General features: G+C 36.4%; 1 protein-coding gene across 5 annotated transcripts in view, besides 1 other annotated feature; it reads right to left on the reverse strand.

Annotated features, from left to right (window-relative positions):
• Positions 2,117-23,960, reverse strand: part of FBXO3 (F-box protein 3) — a 33,577-nt gene continuing 11,733 nt past the window's right edge. For 2 of the 5 annotated variants that reach the window (XM_011519980.2, XM_047426752.1), the window contains 8 exons: positions 19,660-19,774; positions 16,944-17,148; positions 15,628-15,673; positions 12,696-12,780; positions 11,712-11,834; positions 9,950-10,065; positions 8,303-8,493; positions 3,946-4,331 (listed from right to left, as the gene is read on the reverse strand). In XM_011519980.2, coding sequence (XP_011518282.1) covers positions 4,131-4,331; positions 8,303-8,493; positions 9,950-10,065; positions 11,712-11,834; positions 12,696-12,780; positions 15,628-15,673; positions 16,944-17,148; positions 19,660-19,774 — 1,082 coding nt within the window. In that variant the 3' untranslated portion in view covers positions 3,946-4,130. Of the gene's footprint in view, positions 8,494-9,949; positions 10,066-11,711; positions 11,835-12,695; positions 12,781-15,627; positions 15,674-16,943; positions 17,149-19,659; positions 19,775-23,960 lie in introns of all 5 variants that reach the window. The other 3 variants (NM_012175.4, XM_011519981.3, NM_033406.4) reach the window with 3 other exon arrangements.
• Positions 22,747-22,806: an enhancer, noted in NCBI's record as "active region_4585". NCBI's record gives its function as "activates an Ori minimal core promoter by ATAC-STARR-seq in GM12878 lymphoblastoid cells {active_cell/tissue: GM12878}" and the evidence as "EXISTENCE:reporter gene assay evidence [ECO:0000049][PMID:35858748]".

The following is a 23,960-nucleotide window of genomic DNA, read 5'->3' on the forward strand; positions in this document are numbered from 1 at the left end:
CTCCAGCCTCATGCCTCACTTTTCATTTTCCACTTCATTTTACCTTGTTATCATCATCCTTTTGTGAATACAATATGCCTGCAGCAGCCAGTATGCAACCATGATCGTCTTTGAGAGGAAAAGTCTTGTGCTAAGGATGGCAGGTCAGAAAGATGGAGCCAATCTGGACTGTTGATAACACCACTGTGCCATCATGTCAGCCTTGAACTAGCTACCTCTGACTATTCGCAAGAATAACCACCCCCAAACTATTTAAGCTACTGTTAATTTAGGTATTTGTCTTATTCTAGTGATATATCAAGCCTCAGAGAAATTAGTAAAAAAAATCAGTTGTGTTTTCAAGGGTCCTCAGAGCCAGAAATGGCCTTTTCACCACCAAAAGTAGAGTCTGGTTTGGGCAACATTAATGCCAACTGTTAAATTCCTGTTACGTGTGAATAAGCATTCTTGCCAATAGCAGAAAATACAGAAGCTTGTTACCAACAAACTTCACGTTAGGCCGGGCGCGGTGGCTCACACCTGTAATCCCAACACTTTGGGAGCCAGAGGCAGGAGGATCACTTAAAGACAGGAGTTTGAGACCAGCCTGGTCAATATAGTGAAACCCTGGCTCTACTAAAAATGCAAAAAAGGGCATGGTAGTGCACACCTGTGATCCCAGCTACCCACGAGGCCGAGGCATAAGAATCACTTGAACCTGGGAGGCGGAGGTTGGAGTCAGCCGAGATCATGCCACTGCACTCCAGTCTGGGAGACACAGCGAGACTGTCTGAAAAAACAAACAAAAAACTACACCTCAGTATGAACTAGAGGTCACTCATTCAACATACTAAGAGAATGTGAATTCTGATGAGAGGATAAAGCAAATCAAAGCATTCTGAGGAGCAAAGGTTAGACAGGGTTGGAAGGGAGATTTGGGGCATCATAAGTACTCTGGAAATAGAGAGAGAGGTCATCAGAAAAGAGAAAGAAAAAATGGCAAGGGATTCCAGGGCCAGCCTTAATTGCCAAGATTTACTAGTTTTTGATTACTGCTTTATTGGAAAAGTTCGGTTTTGAAAAAATTAAGTGGTTTGACGCTATGGTCTGAATGTTTTTGTTCCCCCAAATTGTTGAAATCCAATCCCTAAAGCAATAGTATTAAGAGGTAGGGCCTTTAGGCTCTGCCCTCATGAAGGGGATTAGTGCCCTTATAAAAGAGGCCTGAGGAAGTTTGTTTGCTCTTTCCACCACATAAAACACAGCAAGAAGGTGCCATCTTTGAAGCAGAGAGTGGGTACTTACCAGACACCAAATTTGCTGATGCCTTGATCTTGGACTTCCCACCCTCCAGAACTGTGAGCAATAAATCTCTATTGTTTGTAAATGACTCAGTCTAAGGTATTTTGTTATAACAAACTAAATAAAGACAATTGACTTTTTTTCTAAAAAGGATAGCCGCCGGGGGCGGTGGCTCACGCCTGTAATCCCAGCACTTTGGGAGGCCAAGGTGGGCAGATCATGAGGTCAGGAGATCGAGACCATCCTGGCTAACATGGTGAAACCCTGTCTCTACTAAAAATACAAAAACTTAGCCGGCCGTGATGGTGGGCACCTGTAATCCCAGCTACTTGGGAGGCTGTGGCAGGAGAATGGCGTGAACCCGGGAGGTGGAGCTTGCAGTAAGTCGAGATCACACTACCGCACTCTAGCCTGGGCCACAGAGTGAGACTCCGTCTCAAAAAAAAAAAAAAAAAAGGATAGCCATAATAGGATTTGATAGCCTGATTATACTCTATTAAATGAAAAGTAAACATGAAAAATGACTTAGTCTATTTCAGAACACCTTGACATGTGTGAAAATGAAAGGATAAGTTTGTCTTCATGTTCCCTAATGGCAGCTGCTTAGCCTTGAATGCCACTTGTTTTCTTACAGTTTTCTCTATAAAATAACTGTTCTTGGGGGAAAATGGATGGTGGGGCACACAAGACAGTACAGTCAAAGCTAGGAGATGACTTTGAGTGGACCTGCTACTTTTGCAGCAGGTCAGCAAGAATCCATCCCATCTTCTACCTTAAAAGCAAATGCTGACTAATATTAGTTTATGGAAAATAAGCAATTATACAAAATACAGAATTGGAACCAAAATTTGCTTTTAAAATGTGAGTTTTTAACACTTGAAGGATTTCATTCTTAACTCTCAATTATATAATTACAAAAAAAATCCAAGTTTCAGGAAAACATACTTAATCCTAACATAAAATTCATGTCACTTATCACAAAGACAGTCAAGTGTATAAAGGAGAAACAAAACAGAAGCAGTATTTACAAATTTAAACTACATGAGATGTTGTGAACAATCTTTTGTTAATAAACAGCACGTTACATACTTTTACATACTACATTTCAAAAATGCATCTGTGAATAATATGATAAAGCGCATAGTGTTGAAGACTTTAAATTAAATCCAAGGTCATCATGTTGAAGACCTGAAATTAAATTCAAGGTTGTAGTGATGAAAAATTTAAAGTCAAGGTCTTAGCGATAAAGACTTTAAATTCAAAGACAGATTGTCTAAGGACAAACCACTAGCGTTCAAGTTGTTTAGTCAATTAGTTCTCTGTGAGTACAAAATATTAGGAATCACTAAATGGATTAGCCTAATTACAAATTTTGATCATTTCTAAATAACTCACAACTGCAAGAAGTCTTTTCACAGAATGAGTCACATAGTTTCTCTCTATCCTTGTGCAGGTATTTTAAATCCTTATTCAAAACAGTTCCCTCTCCATTTCTAGATTTTTGTAAGTATAAAATATTTTAAAACAAAGGTATGTCCATTCCTTAGCTAGAGAACTATTCTTCCACTGACTCCTGGAAGAGAAAAAAAAGATTCCCATTTCTTCCTCTACCTCAAAAACACAAAGCAAACCCAAACAATCCAATTCCTAATGTAGTGTCACATAGAACCCAGGGCCTGAAACAATATTTCATGCTAGTTTTCCTGCTATATGCAGAGAACAATTTAGTTATTTACATTATTGAGAAATCTATTTAACAGCCTAGAATCATCCTAGTGCTTCCATCAGCAGAAGGCTTGCTAAAAAAGGCGTGAGCAGCGGCGTCTGCGAATGGGAACATCAAAGACTCTCCTCCGTCTCTCCTCTTCATCATCTTCATCTGATTCATCCATATCTGCTGAATCATCATCCTCGTCTTCCTCCTCTTCCTCCTCCTCCTCTTCTTCCATCTCTTCATATTCATCAGGACCCATTTCCTTGAAAGAGAAAACAATCTTTTGATAAGAAGAGCATCTATCAGTTTTTTAGTTATTTCATGTAAATTCTCATTTATCTAGAATTCAAACAACCAGACACGCCAAATATGAATTTCCATAGACTTGAACAGTGGATTCTCACAACACACATGCTGATGCAAGATTCTGGAGTGGATTCTATATCTTGTGTTAAATAATGCTCAGTGTGATTTTTTTGTTGTTGTTTAATGGAAGATCTTCTTTTTAAAAAAATTATTATTTTTTCTTAGAGACGAGTTCTTGCTGTGTTGCCTAGGCTAGCCTCAAACTCCTGGGCTCAAGCAGTTCTCCCACCTCATCCTCCCGAGTAGCTGGGACTACAGGTGCATGCGACCCAGCCCAGCTCAGTATGGTTTTAATGGTAAATATTTCACTAAGCCAGTACTTATTTTTTACACAGTAGTTGGTAATTCACAGAAGGTAGCAAACAGACCACTTGTAACAATCCAAGATACAGTTTTACTGAGCTTATATTCATATACTGAATAATAATTATTAAGCTATATACTTACAGAAAAGAGGATATGAAAATATTAATCAAGTATGACCTCTACTGGTAACTTTTATGCACTGTCAACAAGAGATCTAAGATTTTTATTGAGCTCCTACCATAAAGACACATCATTTCAATTCAACCATCAGTAGCCTCTACTTTTTAAAAAAATATTTTTATTTTTTTAGTGGCTTGAAACAGCAACAGTCATTATTATCTCTCATGGTTCATGTGGGTTGGTGTTTGGGAAGTATTCAGTGGGGTGGTTCTGGGTTGGGGTGTCCCGTGATGTTGCAGTCCGATGGTAGCTGGAACTGCAGTCATCTCACGAGCTTCTTCATTCACATGTCTGGTACCCGCGCAGGATGATCCAAATATCTGGAGTCTGAAACAGCTGGGGCTCCTGGGTGCCTCCCTCTATCTCTGTGTGATGTCTCTACATGGTCTCTTCTGCATGACGGCTTCATGGTAGCTGGACTTCTTACATGGTGGCTCAGGGTGTCAAAGACACATGTCCCAGGAGAGAAAGACAGAACCCTAGGCTGAAGGAATATTACCTTTTTCTAACTCAGAAATCACAGTGTCACTTTGCCGATTCGTTATAAGTATATATCTAAGATCAACCCACACTGGAAGGAAATGACAGCCTCTATTTTAAAATTACCTTGTTGGAGGCTCTCAGATTAGGACAGTAGTGATGTTGAACATGCATCTGAATATCTCTTGGAAATGTCAATTCTGCCCATGCAATGTCTGTAATCAAGCCATGACTTACTCTGCTGTCAATGTTCTCTCTCACACATTTGAAGACGCAATGGGAGGGGCTGCTACATTGAACAGAATTCTGAACAGCAAGGACCTACTTGGTATTCTGGAAAGTATGGGGCAACTTGGGGCGTGATGTCAGCCAGAGTCCTTCCACCAAGGCTTTTATGGTGTTACGTGATCCACCACCCCATTAACACTCTGATCTAATCTCCAGCCCCTCTCCCTGTTGTTCACTGCACTCCAGCTACACTGGCCTCCTTGGGTCAAGCACACCAAGCACATTACTGTTTCGGAACCTCCACACGTGCTGCTCCTTTGCTTCGACCTCTCGTCTCCCACATATCCACCTAATTCCCTCTGCTCCTTTCACGTTTCAGCTTAAATGTCACCAAGGCCTCTCCTGACACATCTTTATATTAGAACAACCTAACAATACGTTCTTTATCCCCTTTACTCTGCTGTTTCTCCACAGCACTTATTACTACTTAATATAAGGACATAGTGTTTATTGTTACAGTTTGTCTCTTTGAATTGGAATGTAAATTCCAAGGCAGGGAATTTGATTATATTGTTAATCACAGTGCTCAATAAATAGTTGTTGTACAAGCAAATGAATTAATGTAGGAGAAAGGAATTGTGTCACTTAGGATTTATTATAACACTAACAACAATAACAGAGAAAATATACACTGATACGACTTATAAGACATTACATTCTTTTATCTTTGGATTTATTTTTTTAATCTAAGGAATGAAGACTTTGAAATTCAGTTAGGAGGTCCAAAAGGTGGGAAAGGGAAAGGCTTAGGAAGTTCTAAAACATGATATGTGAGTAGTATGATTATTAATTATCTTAATGAAGAAGAAAACAGAAAAACTGTTAAAGAACTCAATGTGGCTAAGGAGAAAGATTGCTCAGAAAAAAAGTGTACACACACAAACAGCAGATGCAGAGAGGAACACACAGAGAGGAGTGGAAATGTGCAGCTGGAGCCTCTAAAAGTGCCCCAAACAAGCCAAACACACACACCACCTAGACCAAGAAAAGACATAAGACCAACTAATGCATATCCCAAGAGGCATTCCAAGGAGAAAGAAAAAGGAAGTGTTAAGCCTACGAATTAATCAGACTGGTAGAGGACGAAAAAGCAGAACAATTCTCCATATCAGAAAACTAATATACAAACAGGAAAGGTCAACAAATACAACCCCCATGGCTTTTTTAATGTTGATAAGAAGTAAGTCCAGAATTCTCATTTTATTTCTCATCCTTGAGAGAAAACATTTTCCACAAGGCAGGTCAAGATTTTATATGTTTATTTGTGGTTAGAAGGAAACGAAAACTAATAAGAAAGAACATAGTTAAGAGAGAGCTGAACATGAAATGGGTTTATTATTGTCATTTGAAAAGGAACTAATAAGTAAATATTGTTTTACTTATTTCTCAGTTTTAATTTCTGATATGGTAAGCATTAATACAATCCACATAAGCAAGAATTCTTCGGAGTCCTCAATAAGTTTTTAGAGTTTCAGGGGGTCATGAGACTGAAAGTTGACAACCACCGTCCTTAAATAAAGACAACTTTACACCCACCCTAACAAACATTAAAAACAAACAAGATTCCAAAGGATCAAGTCGACCCAATAGTAACTCAACTGCCTGCCAAAACACACCTCAATGCTCTTTGAACTTTAGGACAAGGAATATTATCAGCGATAAAGATGGAGATTTCATAATGATGAAAGAATTATGTCATTAAAAATACATAATAATCCTTAGCATATTTGCATATAATTATACAGCTTCAAAATACATGAAGCAAACCTGACAGAACTAAAAAGAGAAACAAAAAACTATAATTATATTTGGAGATTTCAACAATCATCTCTCACTTGTTGATAGGACAAAGACCAAAAAAAAAAAAAATCAGCAAGTATACAGAAGACTTGAAAAAAACTGTCAACCGATTTGACCTATCATTTATAGAGTAATATTCCCCAAAATAGCAGAATGTACATTATTTTCAAATATACAAGGATCATTTACCAAGATAAACCATAATTTTGGGCCATAAAACATTTAGGATTGAAAATACAGAGCAAATTCTCTAACCACAATAAATTTAAAAAATCGATAGCCAAAAGATAACTGAAAACTCCCCCAAATGTTTGAAAATTAACACATTTCTAGAAAAGTCATAGATCAAAATTAAATTACAAGGGAAATCTGACACTATTTTGAACTACGCGTTCATGAAAACACATCAAAACTTGTGAAATGCAGCTAAAACAGTGCTTGGAGAGAGAAAAGTTCTAAAATTACTAATATAAACTTCTACCTTAAAAAAGCTAGAAGAAAAGCAAACTCAAAGTAGAAGGAAAGAAATAAAGATAACTGCAGAAATCAATGCGATAGAAAATAAGCAAATAGAGAAAATTAGTAAAACCAAAAGTTGCTCCTTTAAATGATCAATAAAAATTACAAACCCCTAACTAAAGCAATGAACAAAAGAGAAGATATAAATTAACAATATTAAGAACAAAAGAGGACAAGTGACTATGGCTTTTGTAGCCATTAAAAGGATATCAAGGGAATACTGTCAATAACTTTATACCAATAAATTCAACATTTAGATGGAATGGACAAATTCCTTGAAAGGCACAAATTACCAAAACTGAAACAAGAAGAAATAGAAAATATGAATATTAAAGAAATTAAATTCAAATTTCAAAATTTTCCCACAAACAGAACTCTAGCCCCAGATAACTTCAGTGATGAATCATATCAAACATTTAGGGAAAAGATTATTCCAAACTCATACAGATACTGGGCCAGTCAAAAAAGGAATTCTGTTATGCAAAGCAGCAAATTCCCAGTACTGGAAATACAGTTTCTGGCATTCCTCCACTGGGAAGAAATCTAAATCTTCACTTCCAAACGCACACTGTAGATTCTTTTCACTAGATATGCCACACAGGTAATGGCCCAAAGTCTCATTATCATCCTTCTCTTTTCAAACTGGAGTTGAAAATGTGTCAGCTCTGGATCAGATTAATATCATGTCCATCTTTCCAAACTTAAACCCATCCATCAGGGTCATTCCAGAAGCTAGAGGGCATTTTCCAAAGATTCAACACCTACAACTCAATTGCATTCTGGGTATATAATTCATATTTTATCCCCATTGTATAACTGGAGCTTCATAACTTTCTTTAATCATGTTATAGTCTCTAAGGTTGGAGTTACTGTTACACTTGTCATAAGGTAACCCTAAAAACGAGATTTTAAAAAATATACCTAGTTGACTTAAGAAATGATCCCAGAGAGACTGCCAAAAGTACACATCCACACATTAAATTTTCTTTATAATGATCTTTATGGAATATTTGTTTATTTGACATTAAATTGGAAGTTTGAGCAAAAACACTGTAAGAAGTTGTTTTCCCAGTCTTAAAGCTGATTCTACTGGTCTAATGTGGTATTTCTCATAATCTACATTTAGGCCACTGAACAGTGAAAAACAAGTTGAATCTTTAAAACAGCAGAAATTCTCTGGTTAGAGACTATGGAGCCTCATTTACTTGTCCATTTCTCTCAACAAATTCACATGACCCCCAAGATACTTTCTCAAAATCTCTAGGGTTCTCTGGAACACTATTTATAAACTAACTATTTGCCTGGCTTATCTGCAGTGTTAACCCTACAAAGTCATGTAAATCAGCACTAGAGGAAAATTTAACTTACCAATCGGGCTATAGACACCCTGAATGTTGGACATGCCATATGGAATCGGGGAATGGCAACATTAAAGATCTTGTCTTTAAAGTAAAGAAAATGGAAGGTATAATATCCTTCCATGTATCCTGATGTTGTAGAGAATGTGGTACAGCTTGTGTATTCATATACCCGACCTGGGCTGATGATTGGAAATTCACCTGCAGGGAAAACAGTAACAATAAACCAAAGTATAAAATTCATTTCTTTATTACAATAAATAAGGTATGGTCTCCATGGCATTATGTAAACTATATAATAGTAAATGCACAGTTAGAAAAAAAAATTCCAAAAGAAAATGTAACAAAATGTTAACAGTGATAGGACAATGAGTAGGTATTTTATTCCTCTTGACTTTTTTTTTTTTTTTGAGACAGAGTCTTGCTCTGTTGCCCACGCTGGAGTGCAGTGGCGTGATCTCAGCTCACTGCAAACTCCACCTCCTGGGCTCAAGCTATTCTCCCACCTCAGCCTCCTGAGTAACTGGGATTACAAGCACCTGCCATGATGCCCAGCTCATTTTTGTATTTTTAGTAGAGGCAGGGTTTTGCCACATTGGCCAGGCTGGTCTCAAACTCCTGACCTCAGGTGATCCGCCCACCTTGGCCTCCCAAAGTTCTGGGATATCAGGCGTGAGCCACTGCGCTTAGCCCTCTCAACATTTTTTTAATGTATTCCTCAAATTCCCTACAATGTAGAAAGTGGGAAGTATCTAGTAAAAAAAAAAAAAAAAACAGAACAGGCATGTTTCTTTTTCAAAAAGCTTTGAGGCATTGAAGACACAACCTTTAAGACATGAGTAATAAAAAGCATCACAGACACCAGTTCAAACAAAGATAAGGTAATCTAAATATTTTTAAAGTAGCAAGAAACAAAAACATAAAATTGTGAAGATGCATCCTAAGCATTCAGACCAGACAAAATGGCACTCACAAGGGAGAGTCCTTATACCACTGGACCAAATGGCAGAAAAAGAACTGTGGCTTTAATAAAGCCTCTCTCTTAGCGCTAGATCCAGAAAAAATTCCTGGACTGAAGCCCAGGAAAAAAATTTGTTAAGTAAACATGTAGATCTATCCATGGCAATGAATTTAGAAAACGTTAAACTGAATTCTGTATATGCTTAGAACTGATAACAGAAGTACATAGCATAAATATGTTATTTTCCTGGAGCATATATTCAAACCTGAAGCATCTGAGGGCTCAGAGACTTCAGATAATCATAATCTTTAAGAAAGCCAAATGACAATGGTAACCAGAATTAAAGTGACTGAAATCTACAAACAATAAAAATTCATGCCATTAATTTTAACATTTCCCCCCAAGCTTCAAAAAACATGACGAATACAAAATTTATTTCCCCCTTTCTGCCCTATGTGTTCTAACCCACAACATACAATGAATAATGAACCAGTTAAAAAAAATAAAATAAAATCCACAAAAAGGGAAATCAATCCCTGAATAATTAAGTTTGCTATTATTTCAGAAAAGTTAATGCTTAAGGGATTAAATTAATAGGATAACGACCTTTATACATTTATATGTTATATTTAGGATGCAAAGTCTAACATTTCTTCTAAGGAATTAATGTATAAACCTAAATCTTGGGTTCCATACCAACTACTCCAGGTCCTTGAACTTCTTCCACGTCACCCTTAGCATTTGTTATTCTCCAATAGCGACTGTCCAACTGACAGGCCTTCTCAGGAAGTGCATCTTTTGACATTTCAATCCTAGAGAAGGGAATGGGGTGGTAGAGACAAAAATCTGGCTTCTTTGTTTCTTTGGTTTAAGAGATACAGTATTCAGGCTAATACTATGAAGAAAAATTTCCAAAAAATTAAGAAACCCAACCCAAAGTCCATGTTAGCCATCTATTTTTCTAAGTTCTCAAAGATACTGGCTTCATTAACTTGATCCCCCTACAAAAATGCTTTCACTCAACTTATGCATTTGACTGTCAGTGTGGATCAACAACAGAAAGGGCAACATAAAATGTGCAACATAATGGTGACAACAATCTTTCGCTGTTCAAATAAAGATCAATTTGGCAAATGCTTTCTAGAAAATAGTGCCATGAAAAACTTCCGGAGAACTGAAAGTCTCTCTTTAACTGCATGAGACTATACAACCCATTTCCCTTTTTTCCATTAGTTTCTAGACAGTTTAAGACAAGATGTCACCAGTTACTGGGATTACACTTTTTTTTTTTTTTTTTGAGACAGGGTCTCACTCTGCCACCCAGGCTGGAGTGCACTGGTGTAATCTTGGGCTCACTGCAGCCTTGACCTCCTAGGCTGAAGCCATTCTTCCGCCTCAGCTCCTCTAGTAGCTGGGGACTACAGGCATGTGCCACCACACCTGGCTAATTTTTTTAAAAATTTTTGTAGGACAAGGTCTCACTATGTTGTCCAGGCTGGTCTTGAACTCCCAAACTCAAGCAATCCTCTCACCTTAGCCTCCCAAAGTGCTGCGATTATAGGCGTGGGCCACCGTGTCCAGCCTGGGATTACACTTTGACTCTGTTTCCCAATGCTATCACTTTCCCCTTTCCCTAGGAATCTGGTGTCTCTTATTTTCACTTTGAGTACCCTATAAGTATGTGTTGGTATTTTTATTTTGAGCACATCTCAATCCTAGGCAGGATCTAAATCAAACAAGTAAACGACAAATATCTATACATGTGTATTTGGATATAGCAAAGGTTGCATACAGTATCTAAATCCTAGGATGCTTCCTGGTAGTTATATTTTACTCAAATACTTCCAGTATGCATATATGCATGTATGTGTATTTTAAAATATACTTATATATTACATAAAATATATAAAAATATATTTTAAAGCACAGTATCCTTAATCCCTTAGGGCAATGAGTTATCTTTGTGTCATAGCACAGAATACTTCTAACTAACGTAAATTTAAAATATTTGCTTCTTATTTAATAAAATTCAATGTCTAACACTATGTCTGACATCCATGAAGCACTCAATACACATTTATTAGATTTTTTAATTGAATATAAATAGGCCAGATGAAATTTAAAATGCATGACTTTATTATGGCAATTTGAGAGCTTCTAGAATGCATTACAACTTGAAGCTTTAATGACGACTACAACTTAGTGGTCCATTTCCACAGTACCTGGCACAATACTTGATACCCAGTATATTTTCAAGAAATAACTTAACTTAGAGGTTAATATGAAGTCAAAGTCCTCCATGAACACTATCTTGTAGAAAATGTATCCACCTTCCTCCAAACTTCAGCAAGTTCTTTCAAAATGTGTCTTACATATCATGTCAAATGGGACAATAGCAACATGTCCATTGGATATATCCCACCATTAACTGAAAGGTGACCCCATTTAAAATTCTCACCTGATTCGGTATGTGAAGAAATAGTGGGGTGGATGTACAGAGCTAAGTTCTGGCAGAAACGATGTGGAAACTGACACAGTAATATCCCCAGTTGTTGCTACACATTCTGGATCGTGAACATATCTAGGTAATTTAAAAATTAAACATTTTAAAATCAACTACAGGATTTAAAAGATACGATGCAAAATAGGTTATACTTTAGGACAAAAAATTTAAATCATATTTCAGACCCAGAAAAGTTCAATAATATTTGGGTATAGTCCTATTAAACTTTGAAGGAAACTAGAAACAAACTACAAAACCTTGGTGACTCTGGATCAGTAATGACAGCAATCAAGGTTCAATGATCAGTGGTTCAAATAACGGATTGGTAATTAGCTTGGAAACAAAAATGAGCTTATTCAGTTTCCAGGGCTAAGGAAACTTTTGGGACATCTGAAAACCCAGCTGCATGATGTCCAATGCTAAATGATGGCTCTGACAATAAAAATGTGCAAGTATGCTGTTCTCAGAAGCCTCTAATGTATAATCAATCTATCATTTCTGCCAACCAGGCTATTATGAACCAGTATTACCTCCAGTACTCCCTACAATACCTGAATGTTCCATTTAGAGATAATAAATATTTGCCAGGAATTAACAGTTACCGACTTGCTATTCATAATAAATCTATCAGTTGCCAAATAACTTTTTGGTGTTTTTCAAAAATAAATTATATAGATACTATTAACCCATAGTTTCTAAATCAAAATCAGCTTTTTCTTGATTCTTCTGGATAGGAAAAATACCAGTTGTCTAAGCATTTAGATGTTTGGCTTTAAAGTGAGAATAAAATAGTGAGACTGAAGACAATCTTCTATTATCAACCTCAATAGAGAGGTTCTATTATCAACCTTCTTGGGAAACTTCATTTCATGATCTGTGACTTATCATTTTTCTCTGATTTACAATCATTTCAATCCAAAAAGACCCAAAATAAAATACCTGAAAATTTGGTCTCTGATGATGGGGAAGCCACCTGATACAACATTTTTGACATAAGAGGTAAACCAGTCAGTAAAAGTAGCACCTATAAAGCAGGAAAGGGAGAAAAAAAGAAAAGAACAAATAGTTTTGTAAAATCTATACAGGAAACAATTGTAATTCCTCTATGCTTTAGAATGTGATACCAAAACTAGAAACATTTATAGATATAATTGTACTAATTATTTATAAGATCAATTTCTATTCTCAATTCTATCCACCTTATTTCCTTGGGATTCTCCCCCTCTTCATCCCCCCAACTATTGTTAGAGAATCCTCCAATGACCTTCAGACTATTTTTTTACACTTATAATTAATCAAATTTTAAACTTTAATTCATTGTGGTACAAGAATGAAAAGCCTTCTGTCTGTAATTTATTGAACATATAGAACAAAGAAAATACAGCTATGACTAGGAAGAAACTACAAGAAAAATATCAGCACCTATTCTCAGACGTCCCTGGTCCAGGTACATCCTGACTCAAGCACAAAATTTTGGCAGAAGCCAGGCTCAGTCTGGACATCTACCAGGGACATGACATTGTGGAGTTCTGTGCATCGGGCCAATCCCAAAGTGGTCTAGTTGCACACTACTATAGATTTAATTGCACAGCGGTCCTCCATCTTCTTAGTGACCAGCTCAAAGCAGAAAAGGATTACTGGAACAGTCTAGTCCAGACCATATATCTGTGATCTAATGATTGGATTATAACAAGTATTTACATGAATTAATAATGTTTACCCCTTCTAGGTAATATTTAACATAACTCTGTCAGACCCCCCATTATTTACTGTTAATACATCTCAGTGCCTGGAATGTATTAGTCCTTTAATTAATGTTGTTCAACAATGAATTTCTTTGTAATCTGGTTTCAATTAACCCAGTTTCTACACTCTGTCACACTGAATGTCAGATGCTAAATTTATAGTGTTTACTAATTATTCTATTTAGGGAATGATAAAAGATACAATTTGGCTTATATCTAAGGGTACAAGGCTTTAAACTTTTAAAAGGCATCAACTGAGAGAAGGCAAACTATAATAGTTGGCTCTTTCCTCAATATCTATTAATGACCCATTCTGACCCAATATTTATTAAACACTATTGTATTCAAGGTTCACTGATCATGTACCTACTTTGAGTAAGATATTAAGAAGTTATATAAATAATGTCATTAAAATTCATAGAAGGTATAATTTTACGTTTTTAGCACTAGTACTTTCTCTGAAAGAGTTTTTAAAAATCATATATATGTATATTTTGTGGAAAAAAGTTATATAACTAAAAACAAATTTGTGGTTTGCATAAAAAAAATTGGCATGGTGTATTTTAATCTACCTTATTTTATTACAATACGTACCAGAGTGTATTCTTTAAGATGAGGACAGACTAGGCAGCATTCACTACTAAACTTATCTGACAGATTCCAGGTTTCTTAAATATCTATTATTAGTACACTGAACACCAGGATATGCCATTTTGTGTGTTACCAGTCTAAGCAAACTTAGTTGAATCAAGATGCAATTTATATGTTCTAAGGTAATTTACCTTTTAAAGTAAGCCCATGTGTTGGGGTCTCTCTGATGGTTCTGGAGCTTTATCAAGGCAGCTGAAAGGAAGCTCCTTTTTCATCCTTCCTCCCTGCATTAACTTCTCACCTCATCTCTTCTCAGTGTCTCTCAATCTTTTGCTTTGCTCTCCCATTTTAAGAGAAATCCCAGCTACTGGCATAGTATTATTACACCTTAGTACTCTGCTGGAGTGGTGAGGTTCTACATACCATGTCAGACGAGCACCAAACTAAGAGTAAGGAACTCACAGAGGCTGGGCAGCAGCTTACCTTAGCACTCAGCTGCCTTCCATTTATAAACTGAGTAGCACTGCTGGACCACAGCCACTATGGTAATCTCTGAAAGTGTGTGCTATGCAAAAATAACAACGAGGGCAATGAGCACAGGAAAAACCTCCAGAGAGTGCTTAACTTAGAAACCAGAGACCACATGAGTCAGAGTGAGCTGAAACCTAGGACCTACATTTAAAAGCTTTTTATAACTTACTAGGTAAGAGTGAGATCTTGATATTATGAAGTACACCATGAACGTGGAATGTGCCATAGTATGGAACAAATAGAGACTTATACATTGTTCAAAGTTCCAATGAGAAGACAGAAGTGAATACAAATGCCTCAGTCTACAAGGACTCTTTACTATTCATATATGTAGATGTTTAATATATGTCAGTCAGTACCCTTAAAAAGCAAAATGGACAGTCTGGAGGAATCTTCTCTGGATGATCAAAATCCAAACAAGCCAAGACGGGATAAATAGCAAAGGGGTGAGCTGTAGTTACTTACAAATTGAAGGGTTCTCAAAACCTATAAGAAATACTCTTTTAAGGCCAAGAAAAACTAGTTGTACCAAGGAGTTTATAAGGCATAGAGTTTATATTAGTCCCTAAAGACTTGCTTTGGAGGTCTCTAATGTGACTTAGTATCTTAATGCTACTGCATTAGCACCAAAAGAGAAAAAGTTTAAAGTTGCTTTATATATCTGTATCCCCAATTATACATGAATATAATGAATAATACATGTGCATGTTAAGAAAAATATATACACATTCACAGCACTTCTACATATTTCATTGCCTTATAGAAGAGTCCTCAGAGCATGAGATTGTATATGGACTAGCTTTTTTCAAAATTAAAAATATTCAATACAAAAACGGTTCTAATGAAAACCTAGATGCAGTACTTTATAAACCAGCAAACCTTAAAGAAATCCAAGTATGAAATTGCCAGCTGCTAAAGTAGCTGAAAAAGTTTTTACCATTTTAATTTTTTTATTATATCCAGGAAGAAGAAGAAGGGGGAAAAAAGACTTTTTTCTTTCCTACCTATAATAAACATGTCAATAGCAGCTGGATTTCGAGCCATTTGGTCCTAGGTGAGAAAAAGAATACAATCGATAAAAACACATTTTACTTAATTTTTCATTGTTCATTATCTGTATCTTTCCCTGGAGACGAGGCAAAACAGATAAAAATAAAGTTGAGATAAGAAGATATATGGCTTGTTATCCTAGAAGAAAGGGTTCTGAATCAGAGTCAAGAGATCCGAACAGTTCTAGGTTACTCATTTCTTTCAGTAAATGGAGAGACCAAGCTACCATCCTACAACCTTACAGAGACATCAAGTAAAAAAATGAGATAAAAAGTATGAAAATGCTTTAAAAAGTTAAAGCTATAAAAGCTCTTTAAATATGTAAAATGTTATATAGAGTCACATGTCTCAACTATGAAAAGCATTTTCTTTTTTTTTTTTTTGAGAGGGAGCCTTGCTCTGTTGCCCAGGCTGGAGTGCAGTGGCTCGATCTCAGCTCACTATGACCTCCGCCTCCCGGATTCAAGCAATTCTCCTGCCTCAGCCTCCCCAAGTAGCTGGGACTAAGGCATGCGCCACCACACCTGGCTAGTTTTTGTGTGTTTTTTTTCAGTAGAGGTGGGGTTTCGCCATGATGGCCAGGCTGGTCTCAAACTCCTGATCTCAGTTGATCCACCCGCCTCAGCCTCCCAAAGTACTGAGATCACAGGCATGAGCCACCACACCCAGCCAAAATTTAGAATTTTCTATTTTAAATTCCTTTTTTAAGTAAAAAGTTCATATCTAGGCAAAAATGAAGGCAGAGGTTGTGTAACTGAGAAATTACTGATAACTGAAAATTATTTTTTCATTTTTATTAAATGAAACCAATACCATATTTTCTGTGGTTACATTAAAACAATAAAAGTCTCCTAAAAAAGAACTACATTTTTCGATACATCAAATACCCACTGAACAAAGTTTTAAAAGTTTCTATTGCACTCAAAGCATGAATCAAAGGATGTTCAAAGGCTAAATTTTTGGAAAGTCTGAAACACATATTACAATTAATTACTTCAACAAAAAGCTCCTCATTAATTTTCCTTAAAATACCTTAAGACAAATTGCAGCTTTTCCTCTGTATATACACCAGTTTTTTATGTCCAACTGTCAAGTTTTCTCTTGGGTTCCATGCCATTATGTCAGAATATTAACTCTAGTTAGAGAGGTCTATAACTAAAATGCATAATATTCTATACCCATTCTACAATCCTGAAAATACCTAATGCATGCATTTATACAACCATCAGAACACATCTTAATGCCATATTTAAACACACGTTCTACTTACTGGACATTGGTAGAAAACTTCATTTTTGTTTCGGCCCTCTGCAGCTTCCACTGCTATGTACTGACTCAAACCAGTATGTATGCAAAAAGTTAAAGGGAGACAGTATTTCAGTCCCTGTCTCTGCTGGAATCCTCCGGCAGCTGTATCGACGTCTAACAAATCTTCAGAACGATAGTGATTAGACAGTGCCATGCTTCCCAATAACCTGAGGAGCATACAGACTCAAACATGTAATACACGGCAGTGCCAAAGAGCTGTGCTTCATCTTTCTGATGAATAATAATTTCCCACTCACAACTTTATAAGTACTAATTAACATGACAATTCTAAATCAGGAATACCCAAAGCACTATAATTTCTAAATATTTAATTCAAACTCTTTTGATTGGAAAAAAGATTCTGATTTAAATTGAAAATTAATTAAATGTCTAAATGGCAATGTTTTAAAAAGAAATACAGTTTTACTGTTTTCAACAATCTATCCTGCCATGATATATTGATTTGCTGGTGTTTTGCTAGCCATGTATGTGTGGCCAATTTAATGTTTAAAGAAGTAAATTCTCTGATGCTGTTATCTTGATACAACCTTTAGCTTACCCTATGCAACCAGACAGTATAAATGTAAAGCAGCTTAAACCTTGTCCAAAGTTTCAAAAACTTGGATGCCTGGGGTATAGATTAATCTCATTAAATATATATATAGCAATACAGGTATCAAGGTATTCCTTGATGAGATTCCTAAGTCTCAATGCTTGAGCCATGTATAGATAAAAATCCCTGTGTTGCAATTTATGACCTATTGGTCATGTCAGTTCTGGGCAACTCTTCTAACAAAGTTCTCTCCTGTTTGCTCTTAAAATCTGACAGTTTTTCAACTTTGTCAAGTTTCAGTTCAATAGGAAAAAATAGCCAATAATTTAGGGTCATCTAGTCCTAACTGACTTCTATGTCTGACCCATGCCTAGTATTTGATTTCTTTCTTTTTTTTTGAGACAGGATCTTGTTCTGTCACCCAGGCTGGAGTGCAGTGCTTACTGCAGCCTCAGACTCCTGGGCTCAAGAGATCCACAGCTCCTGAGTAGCTGGAGCTATAAGTGCATGCTACCAAGTCTGGCAAATTGTTTTTAACTTAATTTTTTATAGAGACAGGCAGGATCTTGCTATGCTACCCAGGTTGGTCTTGAACTCCTGACTTCAGGAGTCCTCCTGCGTTGGCATCCCAAAGAGCTAGTTTCAGGTGTGAGCGACCACACCCTGCCCCCAAGATTTGACTTCTGAATACCTTATAATCTCAATGTGATCACCTTTGGGATTCCCTGTACTCATTCAACCCTCATCTGAAATTGTAACAGAGCCTCACATGATTCTTCACATACAAAGGAACACCAGGTTCCAATAAGAACAGTGCAAAGTTCTCCTTAAATTCTTATTAGCATTTCACAAGCACAATGTCTCTGAAATAGCTTACTTTCATAAAAGTACAAAAGGAGTAGACCCATTCAAAGCATATATGCCTTCTAAAACTGTGGGTGAGTTTTGATGACTACTGCATGGTCTACTTTTACCCAAAAGTTCCACAATGTAAAGTGGATATAGTGGCTGGAAGGCTGAGGCAGGAGGATCCCTTGAGCCTAGGAGTTCAAGACCAGCCTGGGCAATATAGTAAGACCCCATCTCTAATAATAATAATAATAATAATAAAAAAATAAAAATTTAAAATAATAAAAGTTTATAAAACAAATCTTAAAAAAAAAAAAAAAAAGCTGAGCCAGGCACAGTGGTATATGCTTGTAGCCCCAGCTACTTGGGAGGCAGACGCAGGAGGACTGCTTGAGCCCAGGAGTTAAATACCACTAGCCTGGCAACACACCAAGACACCATCTCTTAAAAAAAAAAAAAAAAAAAAAAAAAGTCTGGGTGGTTTGCATCTGTAATCCCAGCACTTTTGGAGGCTGAGGCAGGAATTTTTTGAGCCCAGGAATTCAAGACCAGCCTGGGCAACATGACAAGACCCCATCTCTACAAAAAATACAAAAAAGTAGCTGGGCATGGTGGTGCGCCTGTACTTCTAGCTACTGGGACAGCTGAGGTGGCAGGATTGCTTGAGCCAGGGGAGTCAAGGCTGCAGTGAGCTGAGATCATGCTACTATACTCCAGGCTTGGGGACCGAGCAAGACCCTGTCTCAAAAAAAAAAAAAAAAGTTCCACAATAAATACTTCATTCTTTAGAATTAAATTTTAAACAGGCCATTCAATTATAGACTGTGTTTAATATGACAAAACAATTTTATTTAGTGTAGTGTATGCAGCTCTGGACAAATGATTGCTCTTTACATGTATAGTAGGTAGAATTTGCGTCAAGCTCCCAAAATAATTTGCCTGGCCTGTAATAAGATACACATTTCAAGAGTTCTGAAGAATTTGGTTAAAATATATCGCACATACCTTTACTGTATGTCCCATCCCCCATCCCATACCAGACTTCATTTTAACTATACAAATATATTGATAAAAATTGTGTTTTTATGAGATATATTTATTTTGGTAAAATCTAATTCAAGCTATAGATTTTGTCTTATGGATTGCTATAAAGGAGAAAGAGGGAATTCCCATGCTTCTTTAATTTGTTAAGGGTAACTACAAATACAATTTATTTACTTTCATTCTAAAAAATAACTTGCATCATTAAAAATAACCAAAACATTGAATATCTTACCCAGGAACCACTAACTTCTGTCCATTGTGAATTCGGTATGAACATCGATAATCGTCAGGAAGCTTGCAGCCAATCTGCGCTTCCACAGCATCGAGGTCTTCCTCTCGAGCACCCTCTATAAAGGCACAAAAAAGAGTGAATTGTGAAGAAACAGCCTTAAATCTAAGAAGAAATGCAATCTATCTGCTAACTAATGAAACAATCTTGGAATGAGTGAATTCTGTCCAAAATATATGGCTGAAATAGAAGGAAATGAATTGAAAACTAATTTGAAGCACTGAGAAAGCAAATTTCTTAGTTTCCTCCCAACAGGGAAAACACTGGCACTTAGTAAAACATGGAAAGTGGGCACCAATGAGATCCACAATAATGTTTTCACATTATAACACAAACCTCTAAATTTCCTAAATCTAAAATATTCATACTGCTTTATTTAAAATAAAAAAAAAAACAGCAAAACCCCTGGAAGTTCTCTAAACTGATGTTATTTAAGAGTTTTAACATTGACTCTTAATGGGAAATATAGGACATAAGGTATGGTTCATGTGTGAGGAGGCCATTAACTTGAACTCTATTTTGCATATTTGTAAACTTGCCACATATTCTAGCTTTGAGAAGTGGGAAATAATGACAAATACCAAGAGATGAGATCGACATTCAGCAGCAGCCCACCAGGTTGTTGGACTAAACCTCTTGCTGAATAGTGAAAACAAAAAATTGGCTTGAAGACTTTCGAAGAGTCACAACGGTAGGGGAGAGGGGTCCAGGAGAAGAGAGAGACTGAGAGGTGGGCCAGGCATCGGAAGCCACCTTGTCTTTAGACAAGAATTGCTGTCAATTCTGAAAGCAAATATGAGGTTGAGTGGCCAAGAAGCTGAGCAAAGCTTTAGGCAGTACCACAGGGCTAGAGGGCAAAACAAACAGAGTTCAGGGTCCACAAAGGAGAGAGGGACCTGGTAAAACCCAAGGTTTTTGGGCTAGGATTCTGACTGACATCCTAGGAAAAAGGATGAACTGAAAATAAGACTAGTCCTCACAAAGACTAAAGCCCAGCTTTCAATCATGTCAATCCCTGATTGCATTACAGTGATCTGCCCATTGACTAGCTGCTAGCCAAAAGCAAAAGTAATCTCTAGAAGAAAATAACATTACCCCAAAATTCAAATTATGTCTAGCAATAAATTAAAAACAACTAGGCCTATACCAAGACAAGATCTGACTAAAGAAAGAGGAAAAAATAGAAAATAGAACCAAATCCATAATACATCGTTATTGGAGTTAGTAAACATGGACTTAAAAATAACCACAACTGATACATTCAATGAATTAAATGAAGATGGAGCATTTCAGCAGAGAACTAGAAACTATAAAAATGAATCAAATGGAAATCTTAGAGCTGAAAAATGCAAAAACTAAAATAAGAATACACTGAAAGGGTTTAACAGCAAATCATAGTTTTAAAGCTAAAGAGGGAATTATAAACTGGAAGCCAGGTCAGAAGACAAAAAGGGACGGAAAAACACAAAAAGAGCCTAAGACACATATGGGAGGACATGGCAGAAAGGTCTATGATACGTGCACTAGAATCCCAGAGGGAGAGGAAAAGCAGAATGAAGTAGAAGCAGTATTTGGAGATAACAGCAGAGAATTTTCCAAAATTGATGAAAATGTCAAACGATGATTCAGAAGCACCATAAACCCTATGGAGAAAAATTACAAAGAAAAGTTATCTAGATACATCTTGGAAAACTGCTACAATCAAAGACAAAGATAAATTTTAAAAGCAGTGTAGTGGGTGCAGTGAGGGTATAATTACCTTCAAAAGAGAAACAATAAGACTGACAGCTAAATTCTCTGCAGAAACAATAGAAGTTAGCTGGACTCAGTGGCTCATGCATGTAATCCCAGCACTTTGGGAGGCTGAGGTGGGAGGGTGGCTTGAGGCCAGGAGTTCGAGACCAGCCTGGGCAACATAGCAAGACCCCATCTATAAAAAAAAAAACCTTAAAAATTAGCCAGGGATGGTGTCGCACCTGTAGTCCCAGCTACTCGGGAGACTGAGCTGGAAGGATTGTTTGAGCCCAGGAGTTGGAGGCTGCAATGGGCTATGATTGTGCCACTGCACTCCAGCCTGGGCAACAAAGCAAGACCCTGTCTTTAAAAAGAAAAGAAACAATAGAAGTCAGAAGAATGATATCTTCAAACTGATGAAGAAAAATCACTGCTGACCAAAACCCTATAACCAGTGAATATATCTTCAACAATGAAGATGAAATAAATACATTTTTAGATAAATGAAAGAAAAATTCAGCAGCAGCAGTTAGAAGAAATACCAAAAGGAATTCTTCATGTGGAAGGAAAGTGATCCCAGATGGAAGCATGAAGACACAGGAAGGAATAAAGGGCAACCAGAAAAGATAAATATGAAGGTAAGTCTAAAAGAATATTGAATATGTAAAATAAGAATGTTTTCAGGGAAATTAAATATGTTAAAAAACAAAATCACAAAAACAATAAATCAAAAGGCAGGTAGGAGGTGATTGGAGTTAAAGCATTCTAAAGTTCTTTCATTGTCCAGGAAGTGGAAAAAATACTAATTTACATTAGACTTTAAAAAGTCAAAGATGCAATGTTTTAATCTCTAATATAATCACTAAAAAAAGAAAGGAGAAGAGAATGGAATAAAACATAATTAAGAAGATTACAGAAATGGAACAGTGAACAGGTGGGACAAATAGAAAAACAGAAACATGGTATAGCTCAACTCAAACACATTAGTAAATCTATTAAATATGAATAGACTAAATAATCTAATGAAAAGACAAACAGATCAGATAAAAAACAAAAAATTATATACAAGACACATCTTAAAGTAAATACAGAAAACAAAGCTAGAGTAGCTCTACTAAAATCACATGAAATGAGACTTTAAGGCAAACAACTTTATTAGAGCTAATGGAGGACTTTTCGTAATAACAAAAAGGTTAAATTCACTACACAGGTGTTACAATTCTAATTTTATGTACCTAATAAGAGCTTTAAAAAATATTTTTAAATGACAAATAAAATGGGGAAAAGATATCTACGATCACAGTGGCTGTAGTTTTCTCCTGCTGTAATATTAGCAGCTTAAAGCACTTATTATTTCACAGTTTCTGTAGGTCAGGAGTCTAGATATGACTCAACTGGATCCTCTGCTCAGGCCCCAAAAGGCTGAAAGTATGGCATCAACTGGGGCTGCTATCTCATCTTATGCATCGTATGCTTAGGATCCTCTTCCAAGCTCACTGGTTGTTGGCAGAATTCAATTCCTTAGGACTGAGGCCCTCAGCTCCTGGAGGCCACCCACCATTCTCTACCATGTGGCCCTCTCCATAATATGCCAGCTTGCTTATTCAAAGTCAACAGGAGAGGCACATTGAATCTGACTTCTGGAAGGGCCCCCAGTCCCTTTTAAAGGCTCATCTGATTAAGTGGGGCCCAGTCAGGATAATTTGCTTTTTGATTAATAATTAACTCAAATTCAACTAATTTGGGACCTTAATTACATATGCAAAATCCCTTCACCTTTTTCATATAATATGATCTAATGGAAGAAAATCAGTTATTTTCACAGTACCACCTACACTCAAGGAGAGATCATTATACCAGGCATGTACACCAGTGGGTGGGAATTTTGGGACTATCTCAGAATTCTGCCTACCACAGCAATAGATTTTATCATACTTCTCTCAATAACTAACAGAACAGGCAGACAAAATACACAATTCAGTAAGAGTGTAGAAGATTTGAACAAGATTAACAAATTTTACCTAATTATATATACAGTATTGAACTCCGTAACTGCAGAAAATACATTGTTTTTAAGTATACACAAAACACTGACCAAAATAGATCACATACCGGACCACAGAATAAGTCCTAACAAATTTTAAATGACTGAACTCACATAAAGTATATCCTGTGATCACAGTGGAATTAAAATATAAATTATATTTAAAAGATTACTTTAAAAGTCCAAAATATTTAGAAATTAAGTAATACACTTCTATATCATTCATGGGTTAAAGAAGAAATCAAAGAAATCAGAAAATACTTTGAACTGCATGGTAATGAAAATACAATGTATTAAAACTTATGGGACAAACTAATGTGCTTAGTGGGAAATTTAGAGCTCTAAATTCATTTAAAAAAATAAGAAAGGCTGAAAATCTATGATCTAAGCAATGATCCCAAGTCAGGAAAAAAAAAAAAAATCACAGTAAATTCAAAGCGAAGACATCAAAGAAATTAATGAAATA

Source organism: Homo sapiens, chromosome 11, assembly GCF_000001405.40.
Source record: "Homo sapiens chromosome 11, GRCh38.p14 Primary Assembly".
Taxonomy (NCBI): domain Eukaryota; kingdom Metazoa; phylum Chordata; class Mammalia; order Primates; family Hominidae; genus Homo; species Homo sapiens.